The sequence below is a fragment of the Homo sapiens genome, chromosome X (assembly GCF_000001405.40).
Source record: "Homo sapiens chromosome X, GRCh38.p14 Primary Assembly".
Classification (NCBI taxonomy): Eukaryota; Metazoa; Chordata; class Mammalia; order Primates; family Hominidae; genus Homo; species Homo sapiens.
The window spans coordinates 62,388,284-62,412,542 of NC_000023.11; the positions used below are offsets into that span (position 1 = coordinate 62,388,284).

Sequence of the window (24,259 nt, forward strand, 5' to 3'; positions counted from 1 at the left end):
GTAGAATCTGCAAGTGGAGATTTGGACCGCTTTGAGGCCTGTGGTAGTGAAGGAAAGAACTTCATATAAAAACCAGACGGTAGCACCCTCAGAAAATTCTTTGTGACGATGGAGTTTAACTCAGAGAGCTGAACATTCGTTATGATGGAGCAGTTTCCAAACACACGTTTTGTAGAATCTGCAAGGGGATATTTGGACCTCTCTGAGGATTTCGTTGGAAACGGGATCAACTTCCCATAACTGAATGGAAGCAAACTCAGAACATTCTTTGTGATGTTTGCATTCATCTCACAGAGTTGAACCTTCCTTTGATAGTTGAGGTTTGCAACACCCTTGTAGTAGAATCTGCAAGTGTATATGTTGACCACTTTGTAGCCTTCGTTTGAAACGTCTATATCTTCACCTCAAACCTAGACAGAAGCATTCTCAGAAAGTTTTCTGCGATGACTGCATTCAACTCACAGAGTTGAACAATCCTTTTGATGGAGCAGTTTTGAAACCCTCTTTCTTTGGAATCTGCAAGGGGATATGTGGACCTCTTTGAAGATTTCACTGGAAACGGGATCATCTTCACATAAGAACTAACCAGAAGCAATCTCGGAAACTACTTTGTGATGTTTGTATTCAACTCCCAGAGTTGAACTTTCCTTTTGAAAGAGCAGCTATGAAACACTCTTTTTCGAGAATCTGCAAGTGGACGTTTGGAGGGCTTTGAGGCCTGTGGTGGAAAAGGAAATATCTTCACATAAAAACTACATAGAAGCATTCTCAGAAACGACTTTGTGAGGATGGCATTCAACTCATGGAGTTGAACAATCCTATTGATAGAGCAGATTGGAATCACTCTTTTTGTAGAATCTGCAAATGGAGATTTGGACTGCTTTGAGGCCTACGGTCGTATAGGAAGGAACTTCATATAAAAGGCAAACGGAAGCATTCTCAGAATATTCTTTGTGATGATGGAGTTTCACTCACAGAGCTGAACATGCCTTTTGATGGAGCAGTTTCCAAATACACTTTTGGTAGAATCTGCAGGTGGATATTTGGAGCTCTCTGAGGATTTCGTTGGAAACGGGAATAATTTCCCATAACTAAACACAAACACTCTGAGAAAGTTCTTCATGATGAATGCATTTAACTCGCAGAGATGAACCTGCCTTTGAGAGTTCAGGTTCGAAACACTCTTTCTGTATAATCTGCAAGTGGATATTTGGACCACTGGGTGGCCTTCGTTCGAAACGCGTATATGTTCACGTAAAAACTAAAGAGAAGCATTCTCAGAAACTTCTGAGTGATGATTGCATTCAAGTCACACAGTTGAACCCTCCTTTTGATGGAGCAGTTTTGAAACTGTCTTTTTGTAGAATCTGTAAGTGGATACGTGGACCTCTTTGAAGATTTCTTTGGAAACGGGAATATTTCCACAGAAAAACTAAACTGAAGCATTCTCAGAAACCGCTTTGTGATGTTTGTGTTCGAGCCACAGAGTTTAACATTGCTTTTCATAGAGCAGTTTTGAAATATTCTTTTCGCAGAATCTGCAAGTGGACATTTGGAGCGCTTTCAGGCCTGTGGTGGAAAAGGCCTGAAAGCCTTTTCCTTTATCTTCACAGAAAGACGAGAGAGAAGCATTGTCAGAAACTTCTTTGTGATGATTGCATTCAACTCACAGAGTTGAAGATTCCTTTTGAAACAGCAGTTTCGAAACACTCTTTCTGTGGGATCCGCAAGGGGATATTTGGACCTCTTTGAAGGTTTCGTTGGAAACGGGATAATCTTCACCTAAAAGCTAAACGGAAGCATTCTCAGAAACTTCTTTGGGATGTTTGCATTCACCTCACAGAGTTGAACTTTCCCTTTGATAGCGCAGCTTTGACACACGTTTTCTACAATGTGCAAGTGGCTATTTAGCGGGCTTGGAGGACTGTGTTGGAAAAGGAAATATCTTCTCCTAAAAACGACATAGAAGCATTCTCAGAAACTGCTCTGTGATGATTGCATTCAACTCCCAGAGTTGAACATTCCTTTTGATAGAGCAGTTTGCAAACACTCTTTTTGTAGAATCTGCAAGTGGAGATTTGGACCGCTTTGAGGCCTGTGGTAGTGAAGGAAAGAGCTTCATATAAAAACCAGACGGTAGCACTCTCAGAAAATTCTTTGTGACGATGGAGTTTAACTCAGGGAGCTGAACATTCGTTATGATGGAGCAGTTTCCAAACACACGTTTTGTAGAATCTGCAAGGGGATATTTGGACCTCTCTGAGGATTTCGTTGGAAACGGGATCAACTTCCCATAACTGAACGGAAGCAAACTCAGAACATTCTTTGTGATGTTTGTATTCAACTCACAGAGTTGAACCTTCCTTTGATAGTTCAGGTTTGCAACACCCTTGTAGTAGAATCTGCAAGTGTATATTTTGACCACTTTGTAGCCTTCGTTTGAAACGTCTATATCTTCACATCAAACCTAGACAGAAGCATTCTCAGAAAGTTTTCTGCGATGACTGCATTCAACTCACAGAGTTGAACAATCCTTCTGATGGAGCAGTTTTGAAACCCTCTTTCTTTGGAATCTGCAAGGGGATATGTGGACCTCTTTGAAGATTTCACTGGAAACGGGATCATCTTCACATAAAAACTAAACAGAAGCATTCTCGGAAACTACTTTGTGATGTTTGTATTCAACTCCCAGAGTTGAACTTTCCTTTTGAAAGAGCAGCTATGAAACACTCTTTTTCGAGAATCTGCAAGTGGACGTTTGGAGGGCTTTGAGGCCTGTGGTGGAAAAGGAAATATCTTCACATAAAAACTAGATAGAAGCATTCTCAGAAACTACTTTGTGAGGATGGCATTCAACTCATGGAGTTGAACAATCCTATTGATAGAGCAGATTGGAATCACTCTTTTTGTAGAATCTGCAAATGGAGATTTGGACTGCTTTGAGGCCTACGGTCGTATAGGAAGGAACTTCATATAAAAGGCAAACGGAAGCATTCTCAGAATATTCTTTGTGATGATGGAGTTTCACTGACAGAGCTGAACATGCCTTTTGATGGAGCAGTTTCCAAATACACTTTTGGTAGAATCTGCAGGTGGATATTTGGAGCTCTCTGAGGATTTCGTTGGAAACGGGAATAATTTCCCATAACTAAACACAAACACTCTGAGAAAGTTCTTCATGATGAATGCATTTAACTCGCAGAGATGAACCTGCCTTTGAGAGTTCAGGTTCGAAACACTCTTTCTGTATAATCTGCAAGTGGATATTTGGACCACTGGGTGGCCTTCGTTCGAAACGGGTATATGTTCACGTAAAAACTAAAGAGAAGCATTCTCAGAAACTTCTGAGTGATGATTGCATTCAAGTCACACGGTTGAACCCTCCTTTTGATGGAGCAGTTTTGAAACTGTCTTTTTGTAGAATCTGTAAGTGGATACGTGGACCTCTTTGAAGATTTCTTTGGAAACGGGAATATTTCCACAGAAAAACTAAACTGAAACATTCTCAGAAACCGCTTTGTGATGTTTGTGTTCCAGCCACAGAGTTTAACATTGCTTTTCATAGAGCAGTTTTGAAATATTCTTTTGGCAGAATCTGCAAGTGGACATTTGGAGCGCTTTCAGGCCTGTGGTGGAAAAGGCCTGAAAGCCTTTTCCTTTATCTTCACAGAAAGACGAGAGAGAAGCATTGTCAGAAACTTCTTTGTGATGATTGCATTCAACTCACAGAGTTGAAGATTCCTTTTGAAACATCAGTTTCGAAACACTCTTTCTGTGGGATCCGCAAGGGGATATTTGGACCTCCTTTGAAGGTTTCGTTGGAAACGGGATAATCTTCACCTAAAAGCTAAACGGAAGCATTCTCAGAAACTTCTTTGGGATGTTTGCATTCAACTCACAGAGTTGAACTTTCCCTTTGATAGCGCAGCTTTGACACACTTTTTCTACAATGTGCAAGTGGCTATTTAGCGGGCTTGGAGGACTGTGTTGGAAAAGGAAATATCTTCTCCTAAAAACGACATAGAAGCATTCTCAGGAACTGCTCTGTGATGATTGCATTCAACTCCCAGAGTTGAACATTCCTTTTGATAGAGCAGTTTGCAAACACTCTTTTTGTAGAATCTGCAAGTGGAGATTTGGACCGCTTTGAGGCCTGTGGTAGTAAAGGAAAGAACTTCATATAAAAACTAGACGGTAGCACTCTCAGAAAATTCTTTGTGACGATGGAGTTTAACTCAGAGAGCTGAACATTCGTTATGATGGAGCAGTTTCCAAACACACGTTTTGCAGAATCTGCAAGGGGATATTTGGACCTCTCTGAGGATTTCGTTGGAAACGGGATCAACTTCCCATAAGTGAACGGAAGCAAACTCAGAACATTCTTTGTGATGTTTGTATTCAACTCACAGAGTTGAACCTTCCTTTGATAGTTCAGGTTTGCAACACCCTTGTAGTAGAATCTGCAAGTGTATATTTTGACCACTTTGTAGCCTTCGTTTGAAACGTCTATATCTTCACATCAAACCTAGACAGAAGCATTCTCAGAAAGTTTTCTGCGATGACTGCATTCAACTCACAGAGTTGAACAATCCTTCTGATGGAGCAGTTTTGAAACCCTCTTTCTTTGGAATCTGCAAGGGGATATGTGGACCTCTTTGAAGATTTCACTGGAAACGGGATCATCTTCACATAAAAACTAAACAGAAGCATTCTCGGAAACTACTTTGTGATGTTTGTATTCAACTCCCAGAGTTGAACTTTCCTTTTGAAAGAGCAGCTATGAAACACTCCTTTTCGAGAATCTGCAAGTGGACGTTTGGAGGGCTTTGAGGCCTGTGGTGGAAAAGGAAATATCTTCACATAAAAACTAGATAGAAGCATTCTCAGAAACGACTTTGTGAGGATGGCATTCAACTCATGGAGTTGAACAATCCTATTGATAGAGCAGATTGGAATCACTCTTTTTGTAGAATCTGCAAATGGAGATTTGCACTGCTTTGAGGCCTACGGACGTATAGGAAGGAACTTCATATAAAAGGCAAACGGAAGCATTCTCAGAATATTCTTTGTGATGATGGAGTTTCACTCACAGAGCTGAACATGCCTGTTGATGGAGCAGTTTCCAAATACACTTTTGGTAGAATCTGCAGGTGGACATTTGGACCTCTCTGAGGATTTCGTTGGGAACGGGAATAATTTCCCATAACTAAACACAAACACGCTGAGAAAGTTCTTCATGATGAATGCATTTAACGCGCAGAGATGAACCTGCCTTTGAGAGTTCAGGTTCGAAACACTCTTTCTGTAGAATCTGCAAGTGGATATTTGGACCACTGGCTGGCCTTCGTTCGAAACGGGTATATGTTCACGTAAAAACTAAAGAGAAGCATTCTCAGAAACTTCTGAGTGATGATTGCATTCAAGTCACACAGTTGAACCCTCCTTTTGATGGAGCAGTTTTGAAACTGTCTTTTTGTAGAATCTGTAAGTGGATACGTGGACCTCTTTGAAGATTTCTTTGGAAACGGGAATATTTCCACAGAAAAACTAAACTGAAGCATTCTCAGAAACCGCTTTGTGATGTTTGTGTTCGAGCCACAGAGTTTAACATTGCTTTTCATAGAGCAGTTTTGAAATATTCTTTTCGCAGAATCTGCAAGTGGACATTTGGAGCGCTTTCAGGCCTGTGGTGGAAAAGGCCTGAAAGCCTTTTCCTTTATCTTCACAGAAAGACGAGAGAGAAGCATTGTCAGAAACTTCTTTTTGATGATTGCATTCAACTCACAGAGTTGAAGATTCCTTTTGAAACAGCAGTTTCGAAACACTCTTTCTGTGGGATCCGCAAGGGGATATTTGGACCTCTTTGAAGGTTTCGTTGGAAACGGGATAATCTTCACCTAAAAGCTAAACGGAAGCATTCTCAGAAACTTCTTTGGGATGTTTGCATTCACCTCACAGAGTTGAACTTTCCCTTTGATAGCGCAGCTTTGACACACTTTTTCTACAATGTGCAAGTGGCTATTTAGCGGGCTTGGAGGACTGTGTTGGAAAAGGAAATATCTTCTCCTAAAAACGACATAGAAGCATTCTCAGAAACTGCTCTGTGATGATTGCATTCAACTCCCAGAGTTGAACATTCCTTTTGATAGAGCAGTTTGCAAACACTCTTTTTGTAGAATCTGCAAGTGGAGATTTGGACCGCTTTGAGGCCTGTGGTAGTGAAGGAAAGAACTTCATATAAAAACCAGACGGTAGCACTCTCAGAAAATTCTTTGTGACGATGGAGTTTAACTCAGGGAGCTGAACATTCGTTATGATGGAGCAGTTTCCAAACACACGTTTTGTAGAATCTGTGAGGGGATATTTGGACCTCTCTGAGGATTTCGTTGGAAACGGGATCAACTTCCCATAACTGAACGGAAGCAAACTCAGAACATTCTTTGTGATGTTTGTATTCAACTCACAGAGTTGAACCTTCCTTTGATAGTTCAGGTTTGCAACACCCTTGTAGTAGAATCTGCAAGTGTATATTTTGACCACTTTGTAGCCTTCGTTTGAAACGTCTATATCTTCACATCAAACCTAGAAAGAAGCATTCTCAGAAAGTTTTCTGCGATGACTGCATTCAACTCACAGAGTTGAACAATCCTTTTGATGGAGCAGTTTTGAAACCCTCTTTCTTTGGAATCTGCAAGGGGATATGTGGACCTCTTTGAAGATTTCACTGGAAACGGGATCATCTTCACATAAGAACTAAACAGAAGCATTCTCGGAAACTACTTTGTGAGGTTTGTATTCAACTCCCAGAGTTGAACTTTCCTTTTGAAAGAGCAGCTATGAAACACTCTTTTTCGAGAATCTGCAAGTGGACGTTTGGAGGGCTTTGAGGCCTGTGGTGGAAAAGGAAATATCTTCACATAAAAACTAGATAGAAGCATTCTCAGAAACGACTTTGTGAGGATGGCATTCAACTCATGGAGTTGAACAATCCTATTGATAGAGCAGATTGGAATCACTCTTTTTGTAGAATCTGCAAATGGAGATTTGGACTGCTTTGAGGCCTACGGTCGTATAGGAAGGAACTTCATATAAAAGGCAAACGGAAGCATTCTCAGAATATTCTTTGTGATGATGGAGTTTCACTCACAGAGCTGAACATGCCTTTTGATGGAGCAGTTTCCAAATACACTTTTGGTAGAATCTGCAGGTGGATATTTGGAGCTCTCTGAGGATTTCGTTGGAAACGGGAATAATTTCCCATAACTAAACACAAACACGCTGAGAAAGTTCTTCATGATGAATGCATTGAACTCGCAGAGATGAACCTGCCTTTGAGAGTTCAGGTTCGAAACACTCTTTCTGTAGAATCTGCAAGTGGATATTTGGACCACTGGCTGGCCTTCGTTCGAAACGGGTATATGTTCATGTAAAAACTAAAGAGAAGCGTTCTCATAAACTTCTGAGTGATGATTGCATTCAAGTCACACAGTTGAACCCTCCTTTTGATTGAGCAGTTTTGAAACTGTCTTTTTGTAGAATCTGTAAGTGGATGCGTGGACCTCTTTGAAGATTTCTTTGGAAACGGGAATATTTCCACAGAAAAACTAAACTGAAGCATTCTCAGAAACTGCTTTGTGATGTTTGTGTTCGAGCCACAGAGTTTAACATTGCTTTTCATAGAGCAGTTTTGAACTATTCTTTTGGCAGAATCTGCAAGTGGACATTTGGAGCGCTTTCAGGCCTGTGGTGGAAAAGGCCTGAAAGCCTTTTCCTTTATCTTCACAGAAAGACGAGAGAGAAGCATTGTCAGAAACTTCTTTGTGATGATTGCATTCAACTCACAGAGTTGAAGATTCCTTTTGAAACAGCAGTTTCGAAACACTCTTTCTGTGGGATCCGCAAGGGGATATTTGGACCTCTTTGAAGGTTTCGTTGGAAACGGGATAATCTTCACCTAAAAGCTAAACGGAAGCATTCTCAGAAACTTCTTTGGGATGTTTGCATTCACCTCACAGAGTTGAACTTTCCCTTTGATAGCGCAGCTTTGACACACTTTTTCTACAATGTGCAAGTGGCTATTTAGCGGGCTTGGAGGACTGTGTTGGAAAAGGAAATATCTTCTCCTAAAAACGACATAGAAGCATTCTCAGAAACTGCTCTGTGATGATTGCATTCAACTCCCAGAGTTGAACATTCCTTTTGATAGAGCAGTTTGCAAACACTCTTTTTGTAGAATCTGCAAGTGGAGATTTGGACCGCTTTGAGGCCTGTGGTAGTAAAGGAAAGAACTTCATATAAAAACTAGACGGTAGCAGTCTCAGAAAATTGTTTGTGACGATGGAGTTTAACTCAGAGAGCTGAACATTCGTTATGATGGAGCAGTTTCCAAACACACGTTTTGTAGAATCTGCAAGGGGATATTTGGACCTCTCTGAGGATTTCGTTGGAAACGGGATCAACTTCCCATAACTGAACGGAAGCAAACTCAGAACATTCTTTGTGATGTTTGCATTCATCTCACAGAGTTGAACCTTCCTTTGATAGTTGAGGTTTGCATCACCCTTGTAGTAGAATCTGCAAGTGTATATTTTGACCACTTTGTAGCCTTCGTTTGAAACGTCTATATCTTCACATCAAACCTAGACAGAAGCATTCTCAGAAAGTTTTCTGCGATGACTGCATTCAACTCACAGAGTTGAACAATCCTTCTGATGGAGCAGTTTTGAAACCCTCTTTCTTTGGAATCTGCAAGGGGATATGTGGACCTCTTTGAAGATTTCACTGGAAACGGGATCATCTTCACATAAAAACTAAACAGAAGCATTCTCGGAAACTACTTTGTGATGTTTGTATTCAACTCCCAGAGTTGAACTTTCCTTTTGAAAGAGCAGCTATGAAACACTCTTTTTCGAGAATCTGCAAGTGGACGTTTGGAGGGCTTTGAGGCCTGTGGTGGAAAAGGAAATATCTTCACACAAAAACCAGATAGAAGCATTCTCAGAAACGACTTTGTGAGGATGGCATTCAACTCATGGAGTTGAACAATCCTATTGATAGAGCAGATTGGAATCACTCTTTTTGTAGAATCTGCAAATGGAGATTTGGACTGCTTTGAGGCCTACGGTCGTATAGGAAGGAACTTCATATAAAAGGCAAACGGAAGCATTCTCAGAATATTCTTTGTGATGATGGAGTTTCACTCACAGAGCTGAACATGCCTTTTGATGGAGCAGTTTCCAAATACACTTTTGGTAGAATCTGCAGGTGGATATTTGGAGCTCTCTGAGGATTTCGTTGGAAACGGGAATAATTTCCCATAACTAAACACAAACACGCTGAGAAAGTTCTTCATGATGAATGCATTTAACTCGCAGAGATGAACCTGCCTTTGAGAGTTCAGGTTCGAAACACTCTTTCTGTGGAATCTGCAAGTGGATATTTGGACCACTGGCTGGCCTTCATTCGAAACGGGTATATGTTCACGTAAAAACTAAAGAGAAGCGTTCTCAGAAACTTCTGAGTGATGATTGCATTCAAGTCACACAGTTGAACCCTCCTTTTGATTGAGCAGTTTTGAAACTGTCTTTTTGTAGAATCTGTAAGTGGATGCGTGGACCTCTTTTGAAGATTTCTTTGGAAACGGGAATATTTCCACAGAAAAACTAAACTGAAGCATTCTCAGAAACCGCTTTGTGATGTTTGTGTTCGAGCCACAGAGTTTAACATTGCTTTTCATAGAGCAGTTTTGAAATATTCTTTTGGCAGAATCTGCAAGTGGACATTTGGAGCGCTTTCAGGCCTGTGGTGGAAAAGGCCTGAAAGCCTTTTCCTTTATCTTCACAGAAAGACGAGAGAGAAGCATTGTCAGAAACTTCTTTGTGATGATTGCATTCAACTCACAGAGTTGAAGATTCCTTTTGAAACAGCAGTTTCGAAACACTCTTTCTGTGGGATCCGCAAGGGGATATTTGGACCTCTTTGAAGGTTTCGTTGGAAACGGGATAATCTTCACCTAAAACCTAAACGGAAGCATTCTCAGAAACTTCTTTGGGATGTTTGCATTCACCTCACAGAGTTGAACTTTCCCTTTGATAGCGCAGCTTTGACACACTTTTTCTACAATGTGCAAGTGGCTATTTAGCGGGCTTGGAGGACTGTGTTGGAAAAGGAAATATCTTCTCCTAAAAACGACATAGAAGCATTCTCAGAAACTGCTCTGTGATGATTGCATTCAACTCCCAGAGTTGAACATTCCTTTTGATAGAGCAGTTTGCAAACACTCTTTTTGTAGAATCTGCAAGTGGAGATTTGGACCGCTTTGAGGTCTGTGGTAGTGAAGGAAAGAGCTTCATATAAAAACCAGACGGTTAGCACTCTCAGTAAAATTCTTTGTGACGATGGAGTTTAACTCAGGGAGCTGAACATTCGTTATGATGGAGCAGTTTCCAAACACACGTTTTGTAGAATCTGCAAGGGGATATTTGGACCTCTCTGAGGATTTCGTTGGAAACGGGATCAACTTCCCATAACTGAACGGAAGCAAACTCAGAACATTCTTTGTGATGTTTGTATTCAACTCACAGAGTTGAACCTTCCTTTGATAGTTCAGGTTTGCAACACCCTTGTAGTAGAATCTGCAAGTGTATATTTTGACCACTTTGTAGCCTTCGTTTGAAACGTCTATATCTTCACATCAAACCTAGACAGAAGCATTCTCAGAAAGTTTTCTGCGATGACTGCATTCAACTCACAGAGTTGAACAATCCTTCTGATGGAGCAGTTTTGAAACCCTCTTTCTTTGGAATCTGCAAGGGGATATGTGGACCTCTTTGAAGATTTCACTGGAAACGGGATCATCTTCACATAAAAACTAAACAGAAGCATTCTCGGAAACTACTTTGTGATGTTTGTATTCAACTCCCAGAGTTGAACTTTCCTTTTGAAAGAGCAGCTATGAAACACTCTTTTTCGAGAATCTGCAAGTGGACGTTTGGAGGGCTTGGAGGCCTGTGGTGGAAAAGGAAATACCTTCACATAAAAACTAGATAGAAGCATTCTCAGAAACTACTTTGTGAGGATGGCATTCAACTCATGGAGTTGAACAATCCTATTGATAGAGCAGATTGGAATCACTCTTTTTGTAGAATCTGCAAATGGAGATTTGGACTGCTTTGAGGCCTACAGTAGTACAGGAAGGAACTTCATATAAAAGGCAAACGGAAGCATTCTCAGAATATTCTTTGTGATGATGGAGTTTCACTCACAGAGCTGAACATGCCTTTTGATGGAGCAGTTTCCAAATACACTTTTGGTAGAATCTGCAGGTGGATATTTGGAGCTCTCTGAGGATTTCGTTGGAAACGGGAATAATTTCCCATAACTAAACACAAACACTCTGAGAAAGTTCTTCATGATGAATGCATTTAACTAACAGAGATGAACCTGCCTTTGAGAGTTCAGGTTCGAAACACTCTTTCTGTAGAATCTGCAAGTGGATATTTGGACCACTGGGTGGCCTTCGTTCGAAACGGGTATATGTTCACGTAAAAACTAAAGAGAAGCATTCTCAGAAACTTCTGAGTGATGATTGCATTCAAGTCACACAGTTGAACCCTCCTTTTGATGGAGCAGTTTTGAAACTGTCTTTTTGTAGAATCTGTAAGTGCATACGTGGACCTCTTTGAAGATTTCTTTGGAAACGGGAATATTTCCACAGAAAAACTAAACTGAAGCATTCTCAGAAACTGCTTTGTGATGTTTGTGTTCGAGCCACAGAGTTTAACATTGCTTTTCATAGAGCAGTTTTGAAATATTCTTTTGGCAGAATCTGCAAGTGGACATTTGGAGCGCTTTCAGGCCTGTGGTGGAAAAGGCCTGAAAGCCTTTTCCTTTATCTTCACAGAAAGACGAGAGAGAAGCATTGTCAGAAACTTCTTTGTGATGATTGCATTCAACTCACAGAGTTGAAGATTCCTTTTGAAACAGCAGTTTCGAAACACTCTTTCTGTGGGATCCGCAAGGGGATATTTGGACTTCTTTGAAGATTTCGTTGGAAACGGGATAATCTTCACCTAAAAGCTAAACGGAAGCATTCTCAGAAACTTCGTTGGGATGTTTGCATTCACCTCACAGAGTTGAACTTTCCCTTTGATAGCGCAGCTTCGACACTCTTTTTCTACAATGTGCAAGTGGCTATTTAGCGGGCTTGGAGGACTGTGTTGGAAAAGGAAATATCTTCTCCTAAAAACGACATAGAAGCATTCTCAGAAACTGCTCTGTGATGATTGCATTCAACTCCCAGAGTTGAACATTCCTTTTGATAGAGCAGTTTGCAAACACTCTTTTTGTAGAATCTGCAAGTGGAGATTTGGACCGCTTTGAGGCCTGTGGTAGTGAAGGAAAGAACTTCATATAAAAACCAGACGGTTAGCACTCTCAGAAAATTCTTTGTGACGATGGAGTTTAACTCAGGGAGCTGAACATTCGTTATGATGGAGCAGTTTCCAAACACACGTTTTGTAGAATCTGCAAGGGGATATTTGGACCTCTCTGAGGATTTCGTTGGAAACGGGATCAACTTCCCATAACTGAACGGAAGCAAACTCAGAACATTCTTTGTGATGTTTGTATTCAACTCACAGAGTTGAACCTTCCTTTGATAGTTCAGGTTTGCAACACCCTTGTAGTAGAATCTGCAAGTGTATATTTTGACCACTTTGTAGCCTTCGTTTGAAACGTCTATATCTTCACATCAAACCTAGACAGAAGCATTCTCAGAAAGTTTTCTGCGATGACTGCATTCAACTCACAGAGTTGAACAATCCTTCTGATGGAGCAGTTTTGAAACCCTCTTTCTTTGGAATCTGCAAGGGGATATGTGGACCTCTTTGAAGATTTCACTGGAAACGGGATCATCTTCACATAAAAACTAAACAGAAGCATTCTCGGAAACTATTTTGTGATGTTTGTATTCAACTCCCAGAGTTGAACTTTCCTTTTGAAAGAGCAGCTATGAAACACTCTTTTTCGAGAATCTGCAAGTGGACGTTTGGAGGGCTTTGAGGCCTGTGGTGGAAAAGGAAATATCTTCACACAAAAACCAGATAGAAGCATTCTCAGAAACTACTTTGTGAGGATGGCATTCAACTCATGGAGTTGAACAATCCTATTGATAGAGCAGATTGGAATCACTCTTTTTGTAGAATCTGCAAATGGAGATTTGGACTGCTTTGAGGCCTACGGTGGTACAGGAAGGAAGTTCATATAAAAGGCAAACGGAAGCATTCTCAGAATATTCTTTGTGATGATGGAGTTTCACTCACAGAGCTGAACATGCCTTTTGATGGAGCAGTTTCCAAATACACTTTTGGTAGAATCTACAGGTGGATATTTGGAGCTCTCTGAGGATTTCGTTGGAAACGGGAATAATTTCCCATAACTAAACACAAACAATCTGAGAAAGTTCTTCATGATGAATGCATTTAACTCGCAGAGATGGACCTGCCTTTGAGAGATCAGGTTCGAAACACTCTTTGTGTAGAATCTGCAAGTGGATATTTGGACCACTGGGTGGCCTTCGTTCGAAACGGGTATATGTTCACGTAAAAACTAAAGAGAAGCATTCTCAGAAACTTCTGAGTGATGATTGCATTCAAGTCACACGGTTGAACCCTCCTTTTGATGGAGCAGTTTTGAAACTGTCTTTTTGTAGAATCTGTAAGTGGATACGTGGACCTCTTTGAAGATTTCTTTGGAAACGGGAATATTTCCACAGAAAAACTAAACTGAAGCATTCTCAGAAACTGCTTTGTGATGTTTGTGTTCGAGCCACAGAGTTTAACATTGCTTTTCATAGAGCAGTTTTGAAATATTCTTTTGGCAGAATCTGCAAGTGGACATTTGGAGCGCTTTCAGGCCTGTGGTGGAAAAGGCCTGAAAGCCTTTTCCTTTATCTTCACAGGAAGACGAGAGAGAAGCATTGTCAGAAACTTCTTTTTGATGATTGCATTCAACTCACAGAGTTGAAGATTCCTTTTGAAACAGCAGTTTCGAAACACTCTTTCTGTGGGATCCGCAAGGGGATATTTGGACCTCTTTGAAGGTTTCGTTGGAAACGGGATAATCTTCACCTAAAAGCTAAACGGAAGCATTCTCTGAAACTTCTTTGGGATGTTTGCATTCACCTCACAGAGTTGAACTTTCCCTTTGATAGCGCAGCTTTGACACACTTTTTCTACAATGTGCAAGTGGCTATTTAGCGGGCTTGGAGGACTGTGTTGGAAAAGGAAATATCTTCTCCTAAAAACGACATAGAAGCATTCTCAGAAACTGCTCTGTGATGATTGCATTCAACTCCCAGAGTTGAACATTCCTTTTGATAGAGCAGTTTGCAAACACTCTTTTTGTAGAATCTGCAAGTGGAGATTTGGACCGCTTTGAGGCCTGTGGTAGTGAAGGAAAGAACTTCATATAAAAACCAGACGGTAGCACTCTCAGAAAATTCTTTGTGACGATGGAGTTTAACTCAGAGAGCTGAACATTCGTTATGATGGAGCAGTTTCCAAACACACGTTTTGTAGAATCTGCAAGGGGATATTTGGACCTCTCTGAGGATTTCGTTGGGAAGGGGATCAACTTCCCATAACTGAACGGAAGCAAACTCAGAACATTCTTTGTGATGTTTGTATTCAACTCACAGAGTTGAACCTTCCTTTGATAGTTCAGGTTTGCAACACCCTTGTAGTAGAATCTGCAAGTGTATATTTTGACCACTTTGTAGCCTTCGTTTGAAACATCTATATCTTCACATCAAACCTAGACAGAAGCATTCTCAGAAAGTTTTCTGCGATGACTGCATTCAACTCACAGAGTTGAACAATCCTTCTGATGGAGCAGTTTTGAAACCCTCTTTCTTTGGAATCTGCAAGGGGATATGTGGACCTCTTTGAAGATTTCACTGGAAACGGGATCATCTTCACATAAAAAGTAAACAGAAGCATTCTCGGAAACTACTTTGTGATGTTTGTATTCAACTCCCAGAGTTGAACTTTCCTTTTGAAAGAGCAGCTATAAAACACTCTTTTTCGAGAATCTGCAAGTGGACGTTTGGAGGGCTTTGAGGCCTGTGGTGGAAAAGGAAATATCTTCACATAAAAACTAGATAGAAGCATTCTCAGAAACTACTTTGTGAGGATGGCATTCAACTCATGGAGTTGAACAATCCTATTGATAGAGCAGATTGGAATCACTCTTTTTGTAGAATCTGCAAATGGAGATTTGGACTGCTTTGAGGCCTACAGTAGTACAGGAAGGAACTTCATATAAAAGGCAAACGGAAGCATTCTCAGAATATTCTTTGTGATGATGGAGTTTCACTCACAGAGCTGAACATGCCTTTTGATGGAGCAGTTTCCAAATACACTTTTGGTAGAATCTGCAGGTGGATATTTGGAGCTCTCTGAGGATTTCGTTGGAAACGGGAATAATTTCCCATAACTAAACACAAACACTCTGAGAAAGTTCTTCATGATGAATGCATTTAACTCGCAGAGATGAACCTGCCTTTGAGAGTTCAGGTTTCAAACACTCTTTCTGTATAATCTGCAAGTGGATATTTGGACCACTGGGTGGCCTTCGTTCGAAACGGGTATATGTTCACGTAAAAACTAAAGAGAAGCATTCTCAGAAACTTCTGAGTGATGATTGCATTCAAGTCACACGGTTGAACCCTCCTTTTGATGGAGCAGTTTTGAAACTGTCTTTTTGTAGAATCTGTAAGTGGATACGTGGACCTCTTTGAAGATTTCTTTGGAAACGGGAATATTTCCACAGAAAAACTAAACTGAAGCATTCTCAGAAACGGCTTTGTGATGTTTCTGTTCGAGCCACAGAGTTTAACATTGCTTTTCATAGAGCAGTTTTGAAATATTCTTTTGGCAGAATCTGCAAGTGGACATTTGGAGCGCTTTCAGGCCTGTGGTGGAAAAGGCCTGAAAGCCTTTTCCTTTATCTTCACAGAAAGACGAGAGAGAAGCATTGTCAGAAACTTCTTTGTGATGATTGCATTCAACTCACAGAGTTGAAGATTCCTTTTGAAACAGCAGTTTCGAAACACTCTTTCTGTGGGATCCGCGAGGGGATATTTGGACCTCTTTGAAGATTTCGTTGGAAACGGGATAATCTTCACCTAAAAGCTAAACGGAAGCATTCTCAGAAACTTCTTTGGGATGTTTGCATTCACCTCACAGAGTTGAACTTTCCCTTTGATAGCGCAGCTTCGACACACTTTTTCTACAATGTGCAAGTGGATATTTAGCGGGCTTGGAAGACTGTGTTGGAAAAGGAAATATCTTCTCCTAAAAACGACATAGAAGCATTCTCAGAAACTGCTCTGTGATGATTGCATTCAACTCCCAGAGTTGAACATTCCTTTTGATAGAGCAGTTTGCAAACACTCTTTTTGTAGAATCTGCAAGTGGAGATTTGGACCGCTTTGAGGCCTGTGGTAGTAAAGGAAAGAACTTCATATAAAAACCAGACGGTAGCACTCTCAGAAAATTCTTTGTGACGATGGAGTTTAACTCAGGGAGCTGAACATTCGTTATGATGGAGCAGTTTCCAAACACACGTTTTGTAGAATCTGCAAGGGGATATTTGGACCTCTCTGAGGATTTCGTTGGAAACGGGATCAACTTCCCATAACTGAACGGAAGCAAACTCAGAACATTCTTTGTGATGTTTGTATTCAACTCACAGAGTTGAACCTTCCTTTGATAGTTCAGGTTTGCAACACCCTTGTAGTAGAATCTGCAAGTGTATATTTTGACCACTTTGTAGCCTTCGTTTGAAACGTCTATATCTTCACATCAAACCTAGACAGAAGCATTCTCAGAAAGTTTTCTGCGATGACTGCATTCAACTCACAGAGTTGAACAATCCTTCTGATGGAGCAGTTTTGAAACCCTCTTTCTTTGGAATCTGCAAGGGGATATGTGGACCTCTTTGAAGATTTCACTGGAAACGGGATCATCTTCACATAAAAACTAAACAGAAAGCATTCTCGGAAACTACTTTGTGATGTTTGTATTCAACTCCCAGAGTTGAACTTTCCTTTTGAAAGAGCAGCTATGAAACACTCTTTTTCGAGAATCTGCAAGTGGACGTTTGGAGGGCTTTGAGGCCTGTGGTGGAAAAGGAAATATCTTCACATAAAAACTAGATAGAGCATTCTCAGAAACTACTTTGTGAGGACGGCATTCAACTCATGGAGTTGAACAGTCCTATTGATAGAGCAGATTGGAATCACTCTTTTTGTAGAATCTGCAAATGGAGATTTGGACTGCTTTGAGGCCTACGGTAGTATAGGAAGGAACTTCATATAAAAGGCAAACGGAAGAATTCTCAGAATATTCTTTGTGATGATGGAGTTTCACTCACAGAGCTGAACATGCCTTTTGATGGAGCAGTTTCCAAATACACTTTTGGTAGAATCTGCAGGTGGATATTTGGAGCTCTCTGAGGATTTCGTTGGAAACGGGAATAATTTCCCATAACTAAACACAAACACGCTGAGAAAGTTCTTCATGATGAATGCATTTAACTCGCAGAGATGAACCTGCCTTTGAGAGTTCAGGTTCGAAACACTCTTTCTGTAGAATCTGCAAGTGGATATTTGGACCACTGGCTGGCCTTCGTTCGAAACGGGTATATGTTCACGTAAAAACTAAAGAGAAAGCATTCTCAGAAACTTCTGAGTGATGATTGCATTCAAGTCACACGGTTGAACCCTCCTTTTGATGGAGCAGTTTTGAAACTGTCTTTTTGTAGAATCTGTAAGTGGATACGTGGACCTCTTTGAAGATTTCTTTGGAAACGGGAATATTTCCACAGAAAAACTAAACTGAAGCATTCTCAGAAACCGCTTTGTGATGTTTGTGTTCGAGCCACAGAGTTTAACATTGCTTTTCATAGAGCAGTTTTGAAATATTCTTTTCGCAGAATCTGCAAGTGGACATTTGGAGCGCTTTCAGGCCTGTGGTGGAAAAGGCCTGAAAGCCTTTTCCTTTATCTTCACAGAAAGACGAGAGAGAAGCATTGTCAGAAACTTCTTTGTGATGATTGCATTCAACTCACAGAGTTGAAGATTCCTTTTGAAACAGCAGTTTCGAAACACTCTTTCTGTGGGATCCGCAAGGGGATATTTGGACCTCTTTGAAGGTTTCGTTGGAAACGGGATAATCTTCACCTAAAAGCTAAACGGAAGCATTCTCAGAAACTTCTTTGGGATGTTTGCATTCACCTCACAGAGTTGAACTTTCCCTTTGATAGCGCAGCTTTGACACACTTTTTCTACAATGTGCAAGTGGCTATTTAGCGGACTTGGAGGACTGTGTTGGAAAAGGAAATATCTTCTCCTAAAAACGACATAGAAGCATTCTCAGAAACTGCTCTGTGATGATTGCATTCAACTCCCAGAGTTGAACATTCCTTTTGATAGAGCAGTTTGCAAACACTCTTTTTGTAGAATCTGCAAGTGGAGATTTGGACCGCTTTGAGGCCTGTGGTAGTGAAGGAAAGAACTTCATATAAAAACCAGACGGTAGCACTCTCAGAAAATTCTTTGTGACGATGGAGTTTAACTCAGGGAGCTGAACATTCGTTATGATGGAGCAGTTTCCAAACACACGTTTTGTAGAATCTGCAAGGGGATATTTGGACCTCTCTGAGGATTTCGTTGGAAACGGGATCAACTTCCCATAACTGAACGGAAGCAAACTCAGAACATTCTTTGTGATGTTTGTATTCAACTCACAGAGTTGAACCTTCCTTTGATAGTTCAGGTTTGCAACACCCTTGTAGTAGAATCTGCAAGTGTATATTTTGACCACTTTGTAGCCTTCGTTTGAAACGTCTATATCTTCACATCAAACCTAGACAGAAGCATTCTCAGAAAGTTTTCTGCGATGACTGCATTCAACTCACAGAGTTGAACAATCCTTCTGATGGAGCAGTTTTGAAACCCTCTTTCTTTGGAATCTGCAAGGGGATATGTGGACCTCTTTGAAGATTTCACTGGAAACGGGATCATCTTCACATAAAAACTAAACAGAAGCATTCTCGGAAACTACTTTGTGATGTTTGTATTCAACTCCCAGAGTTGAACTTTCCTTTTGAAAGAGCAGCTATGAAACACTCTTTTTCGAAAATCTGCAAGTGGACGTTTGGAGGGCTTTGAGGCCTGTGGTGGAAAAGGAAATATCTTCACATAAAAACTAGATAGAAGCATTCTCAGAAACTACTTTGTGAGGATGGCATTCAACTCATGGAGTTGAACAATCCTATTGATAGAGCAGATTGGAATCACTCTTTTTGTAGAATCTGCAAATGGAGATTTGGACTGCTTTGAGGCCTACAGTAGTACAGGAAGGAACTTCATATAAAAGGCAAACGGAAGCATTCTCAGAATATTCTTTGTGATGATGGAGTTTCACTCACAGAGCTGAACATGCCTTTTGATGGAGCAGTTTCCAAATACACTTTTGGTAGAATCTGCAGGTGGATATTTGGACCTCTCAGAGGATTTCGTTGGAAACGGGAGTAATTTCCCATAACTAAACACAAACACTCTGAGAAAGTTCTTCATGACGAATGCATTTAACTCGCAGAGATGAACCTGCCTTTGAGAGTTCAGGTTCGAAACACTCTTTCTGTAGAATCTGCAAGTGGATATTTGGACCACTGGGTGGCCTTCGTTCGAAACGGGTATATGTTCACGTAAAAACTAAAGAGAAGCATTCTCAGAAACTTCTGAGTGATGATTGCATTCAAGTCACACAGTTGAACCCTCCTTTTGATGGAGCAGTTTTGAAACTGTCTTTTTGTAGAATCTGTAAGTGGATACGTGGACCTCTTTGAAGATTTCTTTGGAAACGGGAATATTTCCACAGAAAAACTAAACTGAAGCATTCTCAGAAACCGCTTTGTGATGTTTGTGTTCGAGCCACAGAGTTTAACATTGCTTTTCATAGAGCAGTTTTGAAATATTCTTTTCGCAGAATCTGCAAGTGGACATTTGGAGCGCTTTCAGGCCTGTGGTGGAAAAGGCCTGAAAGCCTTTTCCTTTATCTTCACAGAAAGACGAGAGAGAAGCATTGTCAGAAACTTCTTTGTGATTTTTGCATTCAACTCACAGAGTTGAAGATTCCTTTTGAAACAGCAGTTTCGAAACACTCTTTCTGTGGGATCCGCAAGGGGATATTTGGACTTCTTTGAAGATTTCGTTGGAAACGGGATAATCTTCACCTAAAAGCTAAACGGAAGCATTCTCAGAAACTTCTTTGGGATGTTTGCATTCACCTCACAGAGTTGAACTTTCCCTCTGATAGCGCAGCTTTGATACATTTTTTCTACAATGTGCAAGTCGTATTTAGCGGGCTTGGAGGACTGTGTTGGAAAAGGAAATATCTTCTCCTAAAAACGACATAGAAGCATTCTCAGAAACTGCTCTGTGATGATTGCATTCAACTCCCAGAGTTGAACATTCCTTTTGATAGAGCAGTTTGCAAACACTCTTTTTGTAGAATCTGCAAGTGGAGATTTGGACCGCTTTGAGGCCTGTGGTAGTAAAGGAAAGAACTTCGTATGAAAACTAGATGGTAGCACTCTCAGAAAATTCTTTGGGACGATGGAGTTTAACTCAGAGAGCTGAACATTCGTTATGATGGAGCAGTTTCCAAACACACGTTTTGTAGAATCTGCAAGGGGATATTTGGACCTCTCCGAGGATTTCGTTGGAAACGGGATCAACTTCCCGTAACTGAACGGAAGCAAACTCAGAACATTCTTTGTGATGTTTGTATTCAACTCACAGAGTTGAACCTTCCTTTGATAGTTCAGGTTTGCAACACCCTTGTAGTAGAATCTGCAAGTGTATATTTTGACCACTTTGTAGCCTTCGTTTGAAACGTCTATATCTTCACATCAAACCTAGACAGAAGCATTCTCAGAAAGTTTGCTGTGATGACTGCATTCAACTCACAGAGTTGAACAATCCTTTTGATGGAGCAGTTTTGAAACCATCTTTCTTTGGAATCTGCAAGGGGATATGTGGACCTCTTTGAAGAATTCACTGGAAACGGGATCATCTTCACATAAAAACTAAACAGAAGCATTCTCGGAAACTACTTTGTGATGTTTGTATTCAACTCCCAGAGTTGAACTTTCCTTTTGAAAGAGCAGCTATGAAACACTCTTTTTCGAGAATCTGCAAGTGGACGTTTGGAGGGCTTTGAGGCCTGTGGTGGAAAAGGAAATATCTTCACATAAAAACTAGATAGAAGCATTCTCAGAAACTACTTTGTGAGGATGGCATTCAACTCATGGAGTTGAACAATCCTATTGATAGAGCAGATTGGAATCACTCTTTTTGTAGAATCTGCAAATGGAGATTTGGACTGCTTTGAGGCCTACGGTAGTATAGGAAGGAACTTCATATAAAAGGCAAACGGAAGCATTCTCAGAATATTCTTTGTGATGATGGAGTTTCACTCACAGAGCTGAACATGCCTTTTGATGGAGCAGTTTCCAAATACACTTTTGGTAGAATCTGCAGGTGGATATTTGGACCTCTCTGAGGATTTCGTTGGAAACGGGAATAATTTCCCATAACTAAACACAAACACTCTGAGAAAGTTCTTCATGATGAATGCATTTAACTCGCAGAGATGAACCTGCCTTTGAGAGTTCAGGTTCGAAACACTCTTTCTGTAGAATCTGCAAGTGGATATTTGGACCACTGGGTGGCCTTCGTTCGAAACGGGTATATGTTCACGTAAAAACTAAAGAGAAGCATTCTCAGAAACTTCTGAGTGATGATTGCATTCAAGTCACACAGTTGAACCCTCCTATTGATGGAGCAGTTTTGAAACTGTCTTTTTGTAGAATCTGTAAGTGGATACGTGGACCTCTTTGAAGATTTCTTTGGAAACGGGAATATTTCCACAGAAAAACTAAACTGAAGCATTCTCAGAAACCGCTTTGTGATGTTTGTGTTCGAGCCGCAGAGTTTAACATTGCTTTTCATAGAGCAGTTTTGAAATATTCTTTTCGCAGAATCTGCAAGTGGACATTTGGAGCGCTTTCAGGCCTGTGGTGGAAAAGGCCTGAAAGCCTTTTCCTTTATCTTCACAGAAAGACGAGAGAGAAGCATTGTCAGAAACTTCTTTGTGATGATTGCATTCAACTCACAGAGTTGAAGATTCCTTTTGAAACAGCAGTTTCGAAACACTCTTTCTGTGGGATCCGCAAGGGGATATTTGGACCTCTTTGAAGGTTTCGTTGGAAACGGGATAATCTTCACCTAAAAGCTAAACGGAAGCATTCTCAGAAACTTCTTTGGGATGTTTGCATTCACCTCACAGAGTTGAACTTTCCCTTTGATAGCGCAGCTTTGACACACTTTTTCTACAATGTGCAAGTGGCTATTTAGCGGGCTTGGAGGACTGTGTTGGAAAAGGAAATATCTTCTCCTAAAAACGACATAGAAGCATTCTCAGAAACTGCTCTGTGATGATTGCATTCAACTCCCAGAGTTGAACATTCCTTTTGATAGAGCAGTTTGCAAACACTCTTTTTGTAGAATCTGCAAGTGGAGATTTGGACCGCTTTGAGGCCTGTGGTAGTGAAGGAAAGAACTTCATATAAAAACCAGACGGTAGCACTCTCAGAAAATTCTTTGTGACGATGGAGTTTAACTCAGAGAGCTGAACATTCGTTATGATGGAGCAGTTTCCAAACACACGTTTTGTAGAATCTGCAAGGGGATATTTGGACCTCTCTGAGGATTTCGTTGGAAACGGTATCAATTTCCCATAACTAAACGGAAGCAAACTCAGAACATTCTTTGTGATGTTTGTATTCAACTCACAGAGTTGAACCTTCCTTTGATAGTTCAGGTTTGCAACACCCTTGTAGTAGAATCTGCAAGTGTATATTTTGACCACTTTGTAGCCTTCGTTTGAAACGTCTATATCTTCACATCAAACCTAGACAGAAGCATTCTCAGAAAGTTTTCTGCGATGACTGCATTCAACTCACAGAGTTGAACAATCCTTCTGATGGAGCAGTTTTGAAACCCTCTTTCTTTGGAATCTGCAAGGGGATATGTGGACCTCTTTGAAGATTTCACTGGAAACGGGATCATCTTCACATAAAAACTAAACAGAAGCATTCTCGGAAACTACTTTGTGATGTTTGTATTCAACTGCCAGAGTTGAACTTTCCTTTTGAAAGAGCAGCTATGAAACACTCTTTTTCGAGAATCTGCAAGTGGACGTTTGGAGGGCTTTGAGGCCTGTGGTGGAAAAGGAAATATCTTCACACAAAAACCAGATAGAAGCATTCTCAGAAACGACTTTGTGAGGATGGCATTCAACTCATGGAGTTGAACAATCCTATTGATAGAGCAGATTGGAATCACTCTTTTTGTAGAATCTGCAAATGGAGATTTGGACTGCTTTGAGGCCTACGGTCGTATAGGAAGGAACTTCATATAAAAGGCAAACGGAAGCATTCTCAGAATATTCTTTGTGATGATGGAGTTTCACTCACAGAGCTTAACATGCCTTTTGTTGGAGCAGTTTCCAAATACACTTTTGGTAGAATCTGCAGGTGGATATTTGGAGCTCTCTGAGGATTTCGTTGGAAACGGGAATAATTTCCCATAACTAAACACAAACACTCTGAGAAAGTTCTTCATGATGAATGCATTTAACTCGCAGAGATGAACCTGCCTTTGAGAGTTCAGGTTCGAAACACTCTTTCTGTAGAATCTGCAAGTGGATATTTGGACCACTGGGTGGCCTTCGTTCGAAACGGGTATATGTTCACGTAAAAACTAAAGAGAAGCATTCTCAGAAACTTCTGAGTGATGATTGCATTCAAGTCACACAGTTGAACCCTCCTTTTGATGGAGCAGTTTTGAAACTGTCTTTTTGTAGAATCTGTAAGTGGATACGTGGACCTCTTTGAAGATTTCTTTGGAAACGGGAATATTTCCACAGAAAAACTAAACTGAAGCATTCTCAGAAACTGCTTTGTGATGTTTGTGTTCGAGCCACAGAGTTTAACATTGCTTTTCATAGAGCAGTTTTGAAGTATTCTTTTGGCAGAATCTGCAAGTGGACATTTCGAGCGCTTTCAGGCCTGTGGTGGAAAAGGCCTGAAAGCCTTTTCCTTTATCTTCACAGAAAGACGAGAGAGA

The 24,259-nt window shown here is 40.6% G+C and overlaps 1 annotated feature.

The window, feature by feature from the left end:
• Positions 1-24,259: part of a centromere (Linear centromere model derived predominantly from reads generated in PMID: 17803354. This region does not represent an actual centromere sequence, as long-range ordering of repeats and unmapped WGS contigs is not provided by the model. For details of model production, see http://arxiv.org/abs/1307.0035.) that runs on past the window's edge.